We start from the raw sequence: 17,864 nt of genomic DNA on the forward strand, positions 1-17,864 counted from the left end.
GTTGTGGGATGGGGGGAGGGGGGAGGGATAGCATTAGGAGATATACCTAATGCTAAATGATGAGTTAATGAGTGCAGCACACCAACGTGGCACGTGTATACATATGTAACAAACCTGCATGTTGTGCACATGTACCCTAAAACTTAAAGTATAATAAAAAAAAAAGAAAGGAAGTGATGTGAATGAGATCATCTGGCTGCTGGGTGGGGACAGAATTGGGCAGGACAGGGACAGGAAGATGTGTTGTAGTGGCTCAGATGGGAAGCAAATGGTCACTTGGGCCCGGGTAGGGGGCAGAGATGGAAGCAGTGGTGGACTCGAGAGGTATTTCTGAGCAGAACCTACACGGCATGGTGATAGATTAGATATGAGGGCATCCAGTGGGCTTCAGTGACCCGGCAGGATAGATTAGATATGAGGGCATCCAGTGGGCTCCAGTGACCCAGCAGGTGAAGGTACACAGGGCTGGTCTTGAAGGGGAGGCTGTCAAGATCCCACGTGGAGGCCGGTGGGGAGTCTCAGGGGGCTGAGCCTTGAGTTAGGGGCAAGGTTTGGAAAGGTGGCAGCTGGGGAAGGGAGACCCTCTACGATGGGAGGTAGCAGAACTGGGGAAAGAAGTAGGAATGAGCTTGCCTCACTCCACGTGGGTGGCACAGAGTAGGGCAAGCCCTGCTGAGAGGGAAGGGCATGAGCTGGGGGCCAAGAGTGTGAAACCGGGAGGATGGGGTGGGGTGGGGCCCCTGGAGTGGGCGGAGGCCTCTGCCTCTCATGAGATGCAAGAGATAGTAGGGAGCTGTTAGGTTCCCAGGCCAGCAGCCAGCCACCCAGGCAGCACCGGCACTCCACGGCAGTGCCGGGGGATGAAAAGGCATGAACAAGCAGCTGCAGAGCTTGTGCTTTCTGAGAGTATTTACTGACCACCTGCTCTGTGCTCAGAAAGATAACGGGATGTTTATGGAAAAAGTCTCTTGGCTCCCAGGACACCACTTTCTCATGGGTTGCTTCCAGCCTCACTGCCTGCTGCTTTGCATCTACTCTGATGGCTCTTCATCCTTGCCGGGCATCTGAAAGGTGGAAAACGGGAGAGCACAGACTTCTTCCCCTTCGCTTCTGTCTCTTTATCCTTTAGAGATGTCATCCAGCTCCATGGCTTAAAAACCTTCTACATTCTGCTTTATGATTTCAAACAGATTTCCTCCTCAACTTGTCTCCTGAGTTCCAGACTTGTATTTTCAACGGCCCACCTGACATCTCTGCTTAGATGTGAATCTCAAGTTTAAAATGCCAAAGACAGAGGCACCCAGACCGCTCCACCCCAACCAATTCTATCCTAGCTGAGTAAGGGGCATCTCTCAGTTACTAAGGCAAAAACTCACTAGGCATCTGTGATTCCTCCTTCCATATCCAGTGTGTCCCAAGTCCTGTAAATTCGACCTCCAGGAAACCCAGAATCCATCCACTCCTACTGTCCAATGCTACCACCCCTAACCAAGCCACCTCCATTTCTCTCTGGACCACAGCAAATGCCTTCTCACTTGGCCCGCACTTCCCCTCTGGCCCCCAGGAAATCCATGCTCCACAAAACAGACAAAGTGATGCAGGTAAAACATAAAACAGATCAAGTCAGTCCTCAGGTTAAAGCCCTCCATGGGCTCCCCCTGTCTTTTGGAACAAAATCAAAGCTGCTTTCCGCAGCATCCGGTCCATAAGGCCCGGACTTCACCTCCCAATGCTTTCTTCCTTGCTTTCCCTGCTCTCTGCTCTCCAGTCACCCTGGTTTTCTCCCTGTTTCTACAAAAGGTCAACCTTGTGTCCACCTCAGGGCCTTTGCACTTAGAATGTGCTCTTTCTGGAATACTTGCCATCAATCTTCTCATCATTCGGATCTTAGTTCAAATGTCACCCTCTTCTGATGTCCCCTCCCTGCTGCCTGTCACTCGCTGTCACATTTTGTCCTAATAGCACCAATATCAGAAATAGTCAGATATTTATTTACTGTCTCCCACATTGAAATGTAAGTTTCGTGAGAGCTGGATCTTGTCTGACCTGCTCAGTGCTCTCTCTCCCACTCCTAGAACAATACTAGGTGCATAGTGGGAGCTCAGTAAATATTTGTTCAATGAATGAAAAAATGCTTTGGATGTGGTCCCAGGTCTTCTTGAGGGAGTGTGACAAGCCACATGAGAAGTTATCTAAGAACACAGGGCAGGAGATGGTAACTCCTCCACAGGGCAGGAGATGCGGTGATTCAAAGGTAATCTGATAAGCTGATATTTGCTTTAGGGTTACTGGATGACAATATGCTACTCAGTAATGGGAGCCTCCAACTGGCCCCAGAAAAGAGGAAGGCCTGATCCATAGGGGTGGTCCTGGAGGGAATCCTTCAAGGACCAAAATGGAGGGCAGATGAGGAGCTATTTGAAGACTGGTGAGTGTCTCAGTCCATTTTATGCTACTATAACAGAATATCTGAGACTGGGTAATTTATAAAGAACAGAAATCTATTTCTTTAAAATATGTTTTTGGCAGGTAGAGGTGGGGTGTCACTATGTTGACCAGGCTGAACTCCTGACCTCAAGTGATGATCCTGTCTTGGCCTCTCAAAATGCTGGGATAATGGGTGTGACCCACAGCACCTGACCAAGAACAGAGATTATTTCTTATAGCTCCAGAGGCTGGGAAGTCTAAGGTCAAGGGGTCCACATCTGGCAAGGGCCTTCTTGCTGTGTCATTCCATGGTGGAGGGCAGAAGGGCAAGAGAGCACAAGAGAGAGCAACAGGGTGCAGAACTCACTTTTATAACAATCCCACTCTCAGTGACTCCCATGAAAACGACATGAATTCATCCATGAGGGCAGCAGCCTCATGACCGAATCCCCTCCCAAATGTCCCACCTCTCAACAGTGTTGCGTTAGGGATTAAGTTTCCAACACATGACCTTTGGGGGGCATATTCAGACCATAGCGGTGGGTCCTTGCAGTTCCCCCAAATCTGCCACGTAAGTAATCGAAGATTCCACTGTTACCCAGTGTGCACACATTCCCCAAGCCTACATGTCCCCCATTCATACATATATACACACCCTCTTGCAGAGCTGGTGGTGACTCTTTTTATCATGTTCAGATATTTCACAAAGGTCTCAGGGAATGACCAATTGGCCAGTCTCTGAGAAATTCCATGGAAATTTGCAAAAATAAAACACCTATAAAAACTGACATTTCATCACAAAAATCCTAATAAATTTTGTTGCATACATATGCACAATAGAATATTATTTAGCCACTAAAATGATACGAAGTTTAGGTAGCAAGATAGAAAATATTAATGACTATAATTTTAGGCTAACCCCCCTCCCGGGCATAGATATGGTATAAATATTATGCCATATTGTTATGCTCTGCATAATGACGGTTTGGTTAACAATGGACCACATATATGATGGTGGTCCTGTAAGATCAGAATATACTTTTTTTACTGTAGCCTCTCTATATTTAGATACATTTAGGTATGCAAATACTTACTGTGTTACAATTGCCTACAGTGTTCAGTACAGTAACAGGCTGTACAGGTTTGCAGCCTAGGAGCAAAAGGCTACACCATATAACCTAGGTGTGTAGTGAGCTATGCTACCTAGGTTTGTGTGCACACACTCTGTGATGTTTGCAAAATGATGAAATTGCCTAATGATGCATTTCTCAGAACATGTCCCTGTTGTTAAGCAACACATGACTGTAGTTATCGTATTGGGTTAATGGGATTATAGTGGATTGGCCCTTTATGTTTTCCAAACATTTTTAGAAATTACTTTACACATATCAAAATTAAAATATTAAAATTAAATACAATGTCTTTTTGTGGTCGTCTGTGTCCCAGTCATGTGGGCCTTTCTGCTCCCCCTCAAGCAGCTGGAGAAAGACCAGGGGGCCATGGGTACAGCCTCATATGTGCACTGTGACAGGCATGGGGATGACGGGGCGGAGGGGAGAAATCACGGTAAAGTCATAGTGATAACAATGACAGCGAGCCGCATTGCTCCAACTTCATATGCCGCAGGCACTGTGCTAAACATGTTGTTTACTCCGCACATCATTTTCCCCATAGAGGGAGAAACTGAAGTTCAAAGAGGCTAAGGAGCTTGTCTGAGGTTACAGGGCTGGCAAATGACAGAGCAAGGGATTGAAGCTGGTATAACTCCAGAGCCCGTGCTCTTCACCACTTGAATGAGGCCAATAATTTCACAAATATTAAGCCATTATGTTTTCGTTGCTCCCAAAACCTTTCAGCTGCCACTTCTAGGTGTGAGTCAGGAGGCTGAAGATGCCAGGGCAGGCAAGGGCAGGCCATTAACCTCGTTAGCAAGACAGCAGGGGAGACAGCTCGCCCCAGTTCCCATCCCCCTCCAGCGTATCAACAGCAGGCCTAGCCGATGAGACACAGAGACTTCTAGAACGGAGGCAGAGTCAGGAAGAGGAAGGGGAGAAGCACCTGCTCACCGGAGACAGGGAGACTGCAGAAGATGAGCTCTTGTGGGAATGGTGGGATAGTGTGGGGCAGAGACATCAAGGGAAACCCTGGGGCGGGGCTCTTGACCCCTCTTCACATGTGACTCTGGGAAGTGCCACCAGCAGAGGCCCGAGCCTCCAGTCCACCTGGGTTAAGGGATGGAGGCTGAACTCACTTTTATAACAATCTCACTCTCTCAGTTACTCACTCCCATGATCATGACATGAATTCATCCATGCGGGCAGCGGCCTCATGACCAAATCCCCTCCTAAGGGTCCCACGTCTCAACACTGTTGCATTGGGGATTAAGTTTCCAACACATGAATGCTGGGGGACATACTCCCCCAGTATGGAGGATGGTCCCCCAATATGGAGGACCGGGTCATCCCCAAGCAGCCCTCAGTTACCTGTGTGATGGATGCTGTGGTAGGTATGAAGTGGGACCTTCTGGATCCAGACAAGGTGACTCCGTGGTTGGGGCTCAGGATGGACCCTCCAAGCCAGGGGCCAGATAGAAGGAGGCAGAGACCAGAGGGGTCCATAGGAGGTGAGGGGATCTTGGCCAGTTCTCCCTGTAAGCCAGGCCTCGGCTGGCAGGAGGAAGCGAGGCTCACTCCCTGCAGAGCTCAGTCTGGTGCCACCGCTAAGACCATAGCAGCCAGAGGGGCAGAGGAATGCTGTCACCTCCCCAAATCACTGAGAGCCTCCCAGAAGCTCACACGCCCGCCCAGAGGAGAAACTGCACGAGGCAGACCTGGATCACCTGATAATTACCTTCAGATGCTGTTTGATTTCTGTAGCCCACTCAATTTACCAGATGGGAATTGCGTATTTGCTCATAGGTGGGGTTTGCGAGGTAAGCCAGATCTATGTGTTCCCTCCAACTCTCTCTGACTCGCATGGAATTACACTTACGACCCTGCCAGGCCACTATGCTAGACTGCATGGTTCGAGAGCCTATGTGACAGGCACTCTGCCAGGGGCTTCACATGCATGGTCTTGTTCACTCTTCTCAGCATCGTGTTGACAAATATCTTCCATCTCAGGTGCCCATGAAACTAGCTATGTGGCCTTGGGCAGGTTCCTTGACCTGTCTGTGCTTCAGTTTCTTCATCAAATGCAGATACTGATTCCTGCCTAGCAATATCAGTGCATAGAATGCACTTGATAAAAGGTCACCACTGTTGTTAACAGTTCTTTTGAGCACAGAGGGAGGTAAGGACAGATAGGTGATGGCAGCAGGGTAAAGGGACTCCTCCGGAGAGAAAGAAATGAACAAAAACCACAACCTCTTAACTCTGCAGCAATGCAGGTGATCTTATTCCGAGTCAGGAAAGTGAGGTTAAAATTTAAGGGACCAGACCCCCCTCCCAGGAACACAGACATACCTCAGAGCCCCAAGGAGCCATAGGACAGAAAGGTGGGAGACCAGGAGTGTCCAGGTCCTGTGTATCCTCGAACTCACTGAAACTTCTTCCTGACCTGCTGCCTTCTTCATCCGTTTGTGGGCTCTGTGGGACAAACACATTAGTTCCCAGGCCAGGACAGCCTTCCGAGGCCTGGAGACTCATCCCAGCCTCCTCTCTGGGACTCAGGACGGGCTGTGTGGAGCTGAGGCTGGTCCTCAAAGTAAGGTGTTGTTGGAGCCTCCTGGGGTAATTTCAAGGGAGTTTTGTGTGAAAGGGAAGCAGTGCCACCAGACTCCTCCTGAAGCTAAGCCAGGATGAATTATTAAGGAGCTGAAGGAAGCCAGGGCTTAACTAAAGGAGCCCCACGTCTATCTCTGTGAATATTTCAAACCATCTGGACCTATTTTGTGGAGAGAAATTTCTTGCGCTGCCTGAAAGACAAGCAGGGAGCTAGCATTATGCTCACATAGGACAGTTCTCCGTCAAGGGAGGCCTGCGTTTCAGGGCTGGGATCCACGCTCAGAGAAAGCTTCTTAGTGCTGCAGAGCTATTTTTAAAGTGCGAAACTCAATATGTCAGTGGGAGAGGGAGGGAGAGAGGGCTGGGGGTGAAATGGCTGAGGCCATCCAGGCCCCTGAAGGAGCCTCACTTTCCTGGGTGGGTGAAGCCACTCATTTGGGTCTTGCCTGACACCCCCAGATCTCTATTTTAACCCCTGAAAATAAATACCTAGCCTTGTGTTCAGAGCTGATGGTGGGGCCACAGGCCAGAATAGAATTTAATCATTTACTCTGGCTCTCTTTGGTTTAATAGATGCCATATCTGGCAGCTTAACGGGGATGTGTCCTAGTTCCATGTTAAAAACAAAAATTAAAAAAAAATTAAGAACGCTTCTTTATGTTCTGTTTACAACTGTTTTTAACATACATTTGAAATGTTCATCTTCCTGTCTTTCTGTGTGCTGGCTCTGAGGCACCCAGCATCCTCTCTAGTTGGGAGTATCCCGCTGTCCCCCTCTCTTTCTGAGGCTGTGGTTTTCCAGTGGGTGTCTCTGGCCCAAATAGCCCTATCAGAAATGAAGCAACAGGCTGGGTGCAGTGGCTCATGCCTATAATCCCAGCACTTTGGGAGGCCACGGCGAGTGGATCGCTTGAACCCAGGACTTTGAGACCAGTCTGGGCAACTTAGCGAAATCCTGACTCTACTAAAAACACAAAAATTAGCTGGGCATGGCGATGCGTGCCTGTAGTCCCAGCTACTTGGGAGGCTGAGGTGAGAGGATCGCTTGAGCCCAAGAGGTTGAAGTTGCAGTGAGCTGAGATTGTGCCTCTGCACTCCAGCCTGGGCTACAGAACAAGACCCTGTCTCAATCAATCAATAAACCAAGCAACAGCCAGACCCACACTTAGACTGACCAGTCATGTGTTTGGGTAGGAGACGGTTATAAAGTGTCATTTTTCCGTTTGTGCTATATAGGAAAAAATAGCTTGAATGGCAGTGCTAATAAGGATAAAAGGAGTTGACATTCGTCAAGCACACACTTGGTTCCCTTACAAAGCAAAGGCAGTTTGGAATAAAACAATAAAAAGTAAACTTTGAAATAAAATAAATGGAAAATGCATTGTAAAAATATCAGTTTGGAATTGACTTGAAGAGTTGCCAGATCTCTTCCCTGCACCACATTTCACAGTTTACAAAGCTTGTTGGTTTACGTTTTCCATTTCTTAGGGGCCTTGTTCTGGAGGTCTTTACTAGAAGCCAGTGCCGGCAAGTGACTGGGGAAAAGGCAACTCTTCATGGAGGGAGTGTGCAGATGCCAGACATGGCTATAATATTTTACTTTTTATTTTGCCACAAGGGAGAAAGGAAGCTTGACATTGGAAGAAAAAAAGTTATGTGGATGGAGATATGTAGATACAAAGGTGTTTGAAATCAAGCTTCCTTGAAGTCAAAGAGAAAGTTATGTGTTAAGACCCAGAATAATTTCTGATTCAAGGTGAAGTTTTAGAATGTGAGAGGGAGACCTGGATTAGACTAAATATTGATAGGTGATGGTTTATTGTGCAATTAAAAAAAACACAAATTATCAGTTCTTTATCCAGTTTCCAGTGAGAATTACGTTCGTGAATAATCGGTGCAAAATAAAACCAACACCAGCTAATATTTCACGTGGTAAACTTTGAAAGAATCGTATCTTGGGGATAAAAAACCAACCTGGCAAAAAAAAAAAAAAAACCCAAAAACAAACAAACAAACAAAAAAACAAAATTAGACTTGCTAAGCAATAGTAGCCACAAAAGAAAATATACGAAGGTCAAGCTATAATGGAAAACTAGTGAGGATTAGTGAGTGGAATAACCAAGTGTACCTCGGTATTCTCATTTTTCTACATCTTACCTTGATTGTAATTTAAAAAATAAATACAGAGATCAGAATGGGGTCGTTCAAGATTTCTTTTGGTAGATGTGTTTTGTGCTTAGTCAAGGTGAAAGGATGCCCAGGCACTGCCACTCAGAGGTCTCTGCCCTGTCCGGGGCATCTGGGGGGCACCTGGAAGAGGTCTCTTCCTCATAGCTCTGCCCACCCCACTGTGCAGGTGAGACCCAGAATGGACGCTGCTTTGAGGCAGCTGACCAGTGGGATCTGACCTGGAGCAGCTGGTGGTGGCCAGGGCTGAGAGCCAGGATGAGTGTGGAGGTGGTAGCACGCTGGAGAGTGAGCAGAGAGGGCAGCTTCGCTGGTAGACTGTGTGTGGGGCCCAGGCAGGGAGGAGCCAGGCTTCCTTTCCCTGTTCTTGGGACATCCTCTCTCCTGTTCTTTCTTCCTGCCCTTGAAGACCCTCCTGTTGCTTGGGTTATTTTTCTCTCCCGTGGTCTGACTCCAGGACTTCTCCAAGCCAGGAACTATGGTGACAGATAGACAGGCAGACAGGGTGAGAAAGGGGACCCTCTCTGCAGACCCTCAGGAACTTAGTGCCAGGGGAGGGGGCTCTGAAGTCAAGCTTCCTTGAAGTCAAAGAGAAAGTTATGTGTAAGACCCAGAATAACTTCTGATTCGAGGTAAACTTTTAGAATTTGAGAGGGAGACCTGGATTAGACTAAATATTGATAGGTGATGGTTTATTGTGCAATTGAAAAAAACACAAATTATCAGTTCTTTATCCAGTTTCCAGTGAGAATTACTTTTGTGAATAATCAATGCAAAATAAAACCAACACCAGCTCACATTTCACATGGTAAACTTTGAAAGAATCATATCTTGGGGATAAAAAAAGCAATCTGGCAAAAAAAAAATTAGACTTGGGCACAGGGGCAGGAGCAGAGACGAGCCCTCATGTCATTTCCAGATTGGTGTCAGGGAGTATCTGAATGTTTATCCTTTTAAAATGTTTCTAGGGGATGTCTCCAGGCCTTGTTGAGCTTAGTCTCCTGTAAAATTCACCTCCTACAAATTAAAAATAAAAGCCAAACAAAGAATTTTAACCTCAGCTGAAATAACAGCTCCAACAAACATTCTTGCACTGAGCACCATGTGCCCGGAATCCCTCAAGGGCACCTGGCCACTGGTCCTGCCAAATTCCCCACTTCCCTGCCCAGCCAGGCCCTGGGTGGCCCCACAGTTGGCCACTCCTAGAATAGGCTCCACAGGACTATGTGTATTTTTTGTATTTGTTAGTTTTTTTTTCTTATTCAATTCCTAAAATGGAAGATCTACAGGTGGATAGAACGCTCACTAAGTAAGTCCTCAGCTTCCAAAACCTAGAGGCACACTATTACCCTACACATTTAGTTAAGGGAAAATGGAAAGGAGAAAAGGAGGGAGGGAAGGAGGAGACAGAGGAAAGAAAGAAAAGCAAGGCAAGGCCTGGAAAGATTTGCAGAAGTAATGACAGCTTTTTTCTTTTTTTTTTGGAGACATAGTCTCACTGTGTCACCCAGGCTGGAGTACAGTGGCATGATCTCAACTCACTGCAACCTCCAGGTGCCAGAGATTCTCCTACCTCAGGATCCCGAGTAGCTGGGATTACAGGCACATTTTTATATTTTTAGTAGAGATGGGGTTTTGCCATGTTGGCCAAGCTGGTCTCGAACTCCTGACCTCAAGTGATCCGCCTGCCTGCACCTCCCAAAGTGTTGGGATCACAGGCGTGAGCCACCGCACCTGACCAGTAACGACAGCTTTTAATGGTGAAAAACAGAACAAGCTGAGAAGGCTACAGTGAGGACTGGAATGTTGGGCTCTGATGTGTGGCTTTGATGTGTATATGTTTGAGCTTCTCCCTTTTTTACATCCCTGGGGAAATTTTAACTTCATTCTGTTAAGCTTAAATGCTTTTATGAGAAGTATCCTAATTTAATAAAGTCTTATCTAGAAAACGTTTTATGAAAAATACCTAAGATGTAGAATAGGGAGTAGAATAGAATCTGGTGGGTAAAAGTGGGCTGTATACATAAGTTTAAAGAAAAGAAAAAGAGAAAAATGTATTTTCTGGAGCAAATTCAATTAAGCCAATTTAATTTCTTGATCTTCTTGATTATTTTTAATAGAATAATACTTAGCAATTTCCAGTTTTGCTGCTTATCTTCGTTGGGACCAAGTCTTTTCCACACACCATGAAATCATACCCTTTATGATGGGTTTTACCTTTTCTTTGTGGCCGCTATCTCTTTACAAGTCTAATTTTTGCCAGGACAATTTTTTTATTCTTAAGATGTGGTTCTCTAAAAGTTTATCATGTGAAATTTTGGTTGGTTTCATTTTGCATTGGTTATTCACAAAAGTAATGTTCATTGCATTGGATAAAGGACTGATTATTTGTTTTTATTTTTTATTGCAAAAAGAAAACATAAAGAAAAGGCATTTTCCATGGTATGGTTAAAATGTCAGGAAGCTTTGTTACATTAAAATAGTTGTTTAAAATGTGGGAAAGCCTACAGATAGAAAAAAAACAAACAAAAAACATCCTTAGTTTCCAGGGGCAGGATCTTTAATAAGGAAAGATTTTCTCCAATAAGAGAGGCCCTTCACGGGAAGAAGAGTGGGGAGATCACATAGGGAAAGGGGCTGTTGGACACACCAGAGATCTGAAGCCACATGGGAAGAACCATCCCACTGGGGCCTAAATTAAAATGTCCAGATTGGCTCTGGGCACATTTAACTAAATGTGTAGGGTAATAGTGTGCCTCTAGGTTTTGGAAGCTGAGGACTTACTTAGTGAGCGTTCTACCCACCTGTAGATCTTCCATTTTAGGAATTGAATAAGAAAAAAAAATTAACAAATACAAAAAAATACACATAGCAATTAATGTAGGTTGTTTACACATGATAATGTATGAGACCATCATAATGGTTATGGTCTCATATCATTAGGAGGACTCTATTCAAGAAAGGAGGATTTAACAGAGTATAGCTGGGGACAGTTAGTAGAAAAAATAAAATTGTTTCATGTTTGCCCCCGGAGTGAGCTGAGGCTCTTCAATGAACTGGTTCAGGTTGTAAAGGACATGGAGTAGAGACCGTGCCTGGCAAGACCCCAGGGACAGCAGCTGCTGCTACCACCCTTAGGTACAAGCAGGATCTGCCCAAGGCACTTGCACTTATGTTTCAGGGAGCAAAAGTCTATTTAATTTTGCTCTACAAAAGGGAGATGGGGCTTTATCAAAAGGAGCTGATTACCTTCAGCCCTGGATCCAGGTGTATCTCCTTCCAGGTCCATGGAAGACATACTGGGTGACATCAGGAAGACATGAGAGGCTAGGCTCAGTGCCTCTCCAGTGGTTCCTGATTCAAAAACGGATGGTGCCCACCCACCCAGGAGGTGCTGGGGTGCTGTGGGAGGGTGGGGCTCCCACAGCTCTTAAGAGTATTATTGGCAAGTTATCCAGTCTTTCTGAGCCTTAGTTTCTTCCTTGGTAAAACAGGGATAATAATGATACCGACTTTATAGAAGTGCGAGAACTAACGCCTGCCAAATAGTAGGGCACAATTAATGTTAGTGTCTTTTCTGCCCAATTGCCCAGTACAGAAAGTGTTGCTTCAGTAACCTAGGCGAATGCCAGGACTGATTCATAGGAATATCATAGATATATTCGCAACGTCTAAAATGATCTCGTTATAACAATGATCGTTTTTACAAAAATAAGATATATTGACTGTTTTGTATCCCATGAAGGTGAGGGGAGGGATTTTCCTAACTTTCCTTCCAGAATCCGCTATTAGGGTGATGGACTCAGCACCTTTCTGTCCTCCCCTACCCGTCTTAAGAGTTCCTCGTCACAGAGTCGGAAATGGGGATAGAGCTTGGCCCAAGTTAGAATTTCCACCACTCCAGGGGCAGAATGCAGAAAGAAGAGAAAAGTAGCGGGGGGCCTGGCGCAGCTGCTAATGCGGTGCAGAAACTCTTTGAGCTGCCACCCTGGCAGGGCCGGCCTTGGGGGATGTGCCTGAGGATGGTGGGTGAGCAAAGCCACCTGCCCCGGCACAGAGCCTGCGGGTTGTGCTCTGCAAAGCCCTCCCGGTTTCATTCCCAGAGACCGGGCGAGAAAGGGCAAGCCAGGCAGCAGACGCTGGGGGGCGCGTGGCCAGGCTACCCGGATCGTCCAGCGCGACATGGAGTCTGTGTGTCCTCACCAGTGCTGCGTGACAGGAGCCGGGCACCACCGACGCCATAGGCTTGTCGGTGTCTCAGCACTGACACCGTGTGGCCCTGAGAAAAAGCAGTGAGGGGTCCGCAGAAAGTCTTGGAGACGGGAGGTTGTCCCATTTCCTTTCCTCGGGATGTTAATCAGCATCCCTGGGACTTTCCTGGTTATCGCTGATGGCAGAAGTCCAGGAGGGAAAGGAATGTGTCTGAGCTCAAAGGCTGAAGGCTTCAAGACTTAGAAGTCAATTCGATCACTAATGAGAAAGAATGTAATCTCAAGGTGAACTCCAGAGTAGGGAGTGAGTGTGTATCGTGACCTTGGGGGCTAGTCATCACCCCAGCCTAGACAAAGATGATGTAAAACACCCGCGTCAGGGTTGTGACATCCTCCTGACGTCGAGGAGCGACCGCCCCTTCCCGGATGATGTGGCTCGCACAGCTTACACTTTCTCCACCTCCGCTGGCCGTACCTGCTTCAGTAAGTGGCCCTGCCATCCACCCAGTTGCGTAATGGATTAGTCAAGACTCTCTTAGTCATAGGTAGGAGCCAAACTGAACAAGCTGAGGCATAAAAAGCAATTTACTGCCTCACCTAGCTGGGCAAGAGGCCGAACTAACTCACAGGTTTGACACAAGGAAGATTCTGGGAAGTTGGAGAAGAACAGAACCTGGGATTGGCAGCGGCCAGGGCTGTTTGTCCTGCCCTTGTCTCCTCTGTCCCCCTTCACCCACTGGCCTCACTCTCTCTTTCTGTAGACAGCCCTCCTCCAGTGGTGGGGATACAGCCCCTGGCAGCCCAGGCTCAGCCACCCCAACATCAAGGGAGAAATTTTTTCAACAGGAATCTTTCTAATAGGGAAGGGCTCAGATGGGCTTGCTCAAGTTAGGTGTCTGCCCCCCGAGGCAATCCCCAGTGGCAAGGAGATGACACACTGAGATAGGCCAGTCCTGGTCACACCCTCTCTCCTAGGGCTGCTGGACAGGAGTTGTCAACAGAGAAGAGTGACAGGAACACTTACTTGGCAGGCACAAATCACAGGTTGCTGTGCTCCACTATGCAGATGATGACACCCTCAGATTTTTTCTCTTTAGTAAACTCTTAAAACTAGACATATACACAGAAAACTGCATGAATTATGAGTGTGCAGTGTTTATTCACAAGAGCAAGGACATAGAATCAACCCAGGCACCCATCAAAAGTAGATTAAAGAAAATGTGGTGCATATACACCATGGAATACTACACAGCCATAAAAAAGAACAAAATCGTGTCCTTTGCAGTACCATGGATAAGGCTGGAGGCTGTTACCTTAATTGAATTAACACAGAAACAGAAAACTAAATACTACGTGTTCTTACTTGTAAGTGGCAGACACAAAGATGGGAAAAATAAACACCGGGAATTCCAAAAGCGGGGAGGGAGAGAGTGGGAGAAGGGTGGACAAACTGCCTATTGGGTACTATGTTCGCTACTTGGGTAGGGCCCAAACCTCAGTACCATGCGATATACCCATGTAACCCCAAACCTGTACATGTACCCCCAGAATCTAAAATTTGTTTTAAAAAAGAAAATAAATATGTATAGAAATAGCAGAATGTAAGATACCTTTAAGTTCACCTTTCAGAGATAACACTGATGATGTTATCAGCATTTATTATTTTCTTTAAGGATCTCATTTCTATTTATTTATTTATATATATATATTTTTTAGAGACAAGGTCTCACTCTGTTGCCCAGGTTGGAGTGCAGTGATGCAGTCATAGTTCACTGCAGCCTCAAACTCCTCAGTTCAAGTGATCCACCTGCTTTGGCCTCCCACAGCGCTGGAATTACAGGCATGAGCCAGCACACTCGGCCAAGAATCTCATTTTTTAGCCTCACTTTTAAAAAATAAAATAGAAAGTATACTGCATAAAGAAAAAAAATGTGCAGCTTCATTAAGTTTCCCTTTTGAATACACCCATGTAACAAGCATCCTGATGGAGAAACAGAACGTCACCAGCATCCTAGAAACCTTCCTTGGCTTCCTTCCAATCATGGCACACCTGTCTTCCAAAGGTAAATGCTATCCTGATTTCTGCTACTGTAATTAGTTTGATCAGTTTTGGCACTTTATACCAATGCAACTGTTCAATATTTTATTCTTCCATGCCTTGCTTCTTACATTCAACATTATGTTTATGAAACCCATCCATACTGTGTGTAATACAGAGTGTTTGTTTTCACGGCTGCATAATATTCCATTGCATGAATACTCCAAACATTATTTGCCCATTTTACTGTTGATAGACACCCTGGCCGTGAAGAGGAAAGTCCCAAGTGCCATTGGGTTGTGACAGTACTGTGAGAGACTTTACCTAGGCATTTATGTCTTTGAATTTTGCTTTGAATCATGTTCTTCTTTGAATATATGTGTAAATGCTGGCTGCTAATTAATATATAAGGTTGTCACATGAGTTTAAAAGCATTATTTCAGCCAAGCGCAGTGGTTCATGCTTGTAATCCCATCACTTTGGGAAGCTAGGCAGAAGAATTGCTTGAGCCCAAGAGTTCAAGACCAGCCTAAGCAACATAGCAGGACTTCTATAAATAAGAGCGTATTTTGTGGAAAGTTTTACGGAGTGACGAGTATGCTCTGTGCTCTTGGGGACCACTACTCCAGGCAATTAATTGTCCTGGCAACACCGTCACTTGGCAACACAGCCCCCTGGTGGCAGCCACCTGAACTGCAATCTTACCTCAGAAAAAGTTAATTGCTGTTTTTCAAACCGGGCATTATAGCAAGTGTCACAACCCAGGACATAATTTATACTTAGACCAGTAATCATTTATGTGAATAAAAGTGCTCCATCTCCATGGCATTGTATCTAATCAGGATACAAGTCCATCTCTAAAATAATGATAAAAATTTTTTAAAGAACTACCATTTATCAAGTACTTCCTGTGTCTGGTACCGTGCCACACCCTTCACATACAGTATTCAGCGTCATCCCTCCAGCAGTGCTGCGGAGTGGCCATTGTTGTCACCTTTTAGAGACAAGGAAGCAGAGGCTTGCAGATGTTCAGGAATCATCTCAAGGTAAATGGAGCCAGGATGGCTTCTCCCACAATCATGATCTCCTCTGCCCCCTGCGATTGGAGGCACCTGGCTGTTCCACGCTCACTCAAGGTTCATTCCCACAGACCAGCCCCCACCCCGAGGAGGGCTGGAGTCAGAGAAGAGCTCACTTTTTCTCCTGTGGCTCTCTGCTGGGAGGCACGTACTTCTAGTTCCTCTTCCCTCGTCCATACCGCCCAGGTGGACAAGTCGTTTTTCTGCTAGTAGAAGCCCAAGGCATTGTTCGGGGCACATTGTACTAGCGCCTGGGATTCATGTGGGTGTCTTCCCCATCTTTCTGTGCCCAGGCAGTGTCAGGTTGGCCTGTCCTCCGCCCCTCCTTGACTGCTCATGACCAGGTGGCAGGTAGAATAACCAACTTGCCCCACTTTGCCCAGGACCTTCTCCATTTTTGCACTGAAAATCTCCCATCTCAGGAACCCCCTTGGCTCCAAACAAGCTGCCTTTCCCCCTGGATCTTGGGAAAGTCAGGCCCAAATTGCACCACAGATTCAGCTGTCCTAGATCCTGTGAGAGGATGAGAAACTCGTTAGGCCTCCTGGCTTATGATGCACTGGCCAATCCAGCAAACCAGAGCTCTGCGTTGGGATTGAGGATTAACAGGTGCTTGTCCTGCCTGTGAAAACAGTCCTTGGCAGCATGTAGGGTAGTCCAGCATGTGACTTCTGCAGGCAGGTGGCCTGGATTCAGATCCTGGCTCCACCTCCTGCTGGCTCTGTGGCCTTGAGCAGGTTATTTCACCAACCTGACCTCAGAACCCAACGCTTAGCACAGCACATACCTCACTGTGGCTGTTGTGAAAATTCAATGTGAAAATGCAGATGCTTGGAAGCATTCAGCCCACAGGTCGTGCGCCACAAATGACAGCCCTTGCCATTCCCTTTGCTTCTTCAGCTGCCAAACTGCCTCCCAAGTTCTGATCCTAAGACTTACTTATTTTTAGTATGAAATGCTTCATAAATACAAAGGAATATATATCACACATTCATATATAAAATGTGAAGAGTAACAAAATATATACCAATGTACTCAAACCTCCTCTCCTTCAGCTTAAAATAGAATATTACTGACCAGTCATAGTGGTTCACACCTGTAATCTAGCAGGTTTGGGAGGCCAAGGCAGGAGAATCGCTGGAGGCCAAAAGTTTGAAACCGGCCTGGGCAACATGGCAACACCCCACCTCTACAAAAAAATACAAAAATTAGCAGATGGTGGGGGGTGGTGTGCACCTGTGATCCCAGCTACTTGGAAGGTTGAGGTGGGAGGATCGCTTGAGCCTGGGAGGCAGAGGTTTCAGTGAGCTGAGATCATGTTACTGCACTCTAGCCTGGGTGACAGTGAGACCCTGTCTAAAAAAAAAAACAAAAGAAGAAGAAGATTACCAATGCTTTTGTATATCCCTCTAATCATAACCTTCCCTGTAATGATAATGAATCTGAATTTTGCCATTTCCTCACTTGAACGTATCATTTCTTCACTTTTTGTTATATGTTTACTACATACGTATGTATTGCTGATAACGTATTGTTATGTTTGAGATATCTGGGTCCTGATGCAAATGCAATCATACTTATTTTCTTTTTTCACTCAACATTGTGTTTTTGAGATTCATCCATGTTAATATATGAAGCTGTAGTTCATTATTTTTCCTTGCTGTACAGCATTCCACTGTTTGAATGTGTGGTCATTCATTGATCTACTCCCCTATGCAAACAGTGCCACCACAAACACTTTCATAGGTTTCCAGGTGCACGTGTGCACAAATTACTCTACAGTATCCATCTAACCCGAAAAGTCTTCACTGATGGCTCAGTGGCAATGGCCTGCCCTCTGGTTTGGTTTTCATTGTGACCAGAATTCTGAACCCAACACTCTCTGCTCCATTAAAATCTTTTTCTGTATTTTAAAGTAGGATTCAGGATTATGAGTGACAAAAAGCTCAACTCAAGTGATATCAGGCAAAAAAAAAAAAAAAAAAAGGTGGGGTAGAGAGAACTGTATTGGGATGAATGATGGAGCAGTTTAGAGGGGACTGGTTGAATCTTAGACTAAGCACTGTCCACACAGCCCTGTGGATCTCTCGGTCACAGGGCTTGGCCACCCCCGTTTTCCTTCCATCCTTGGACAGACTCTTCCCTCATCGGAAACAGATAGTGGCAGTCACTTCTGCCTGCAGTGCCCAGGTCTGAG

At 46.1% G+C, this 17,864-nt stretch overlaps 1 protein-coding gene across 1 annotated transcript in view, besides 1 other annotated feature; it reads right to left on the minus strand.

Annotated features, from left to right (window-relative positions):
• PLA2G4E (phospholipase A2 group IVE) overlaps window positions 1-6,074 on the minus strand; it is a 69,122-nt gene extending 63,048 nt beyond the window's left edge. Inside the window, exon 1 of the mRNA NM_001206670.1 lies at window positions 5,892-6,074. Within this exon, the coding sequence (NP_001193599.1) occupies window positions 5,892-6,074 (183 nt within the window). The remainder of the gene's footprint in view (window positions 1-5,891) is intronic.
• Window positions 719-879: a silencer, noted in NCBI's record as "fragment chr15:42337546-42337706 (GRCh37/hg19 assembly coordinates)". NCBI's record gives its function as "represses an EF-1alpha promoter that drives an FKBP-Casp9 reporter gene in an ReSE screen in K562 erythroleukemia cells {active_cell/tissue: K562}" and the evidence as "EXISTENCE:reporter gene assay evidence [ECO:0000049][PMID:32094911]".

Source organism: Homo sapiens, chromosome 15 (genome assembly GCF_000001405.40).
Source record: "Homo sapiens chromosome 15, GRCh38.p14 Primary Assembly".
In the NCBI taxonomy this organism is placed as follows: domain Eukaryota; kingdom Metazoa; phylum Chordata; class Mammalia; order Primates; family Hominidae; genus Homo; species Homo sapiens.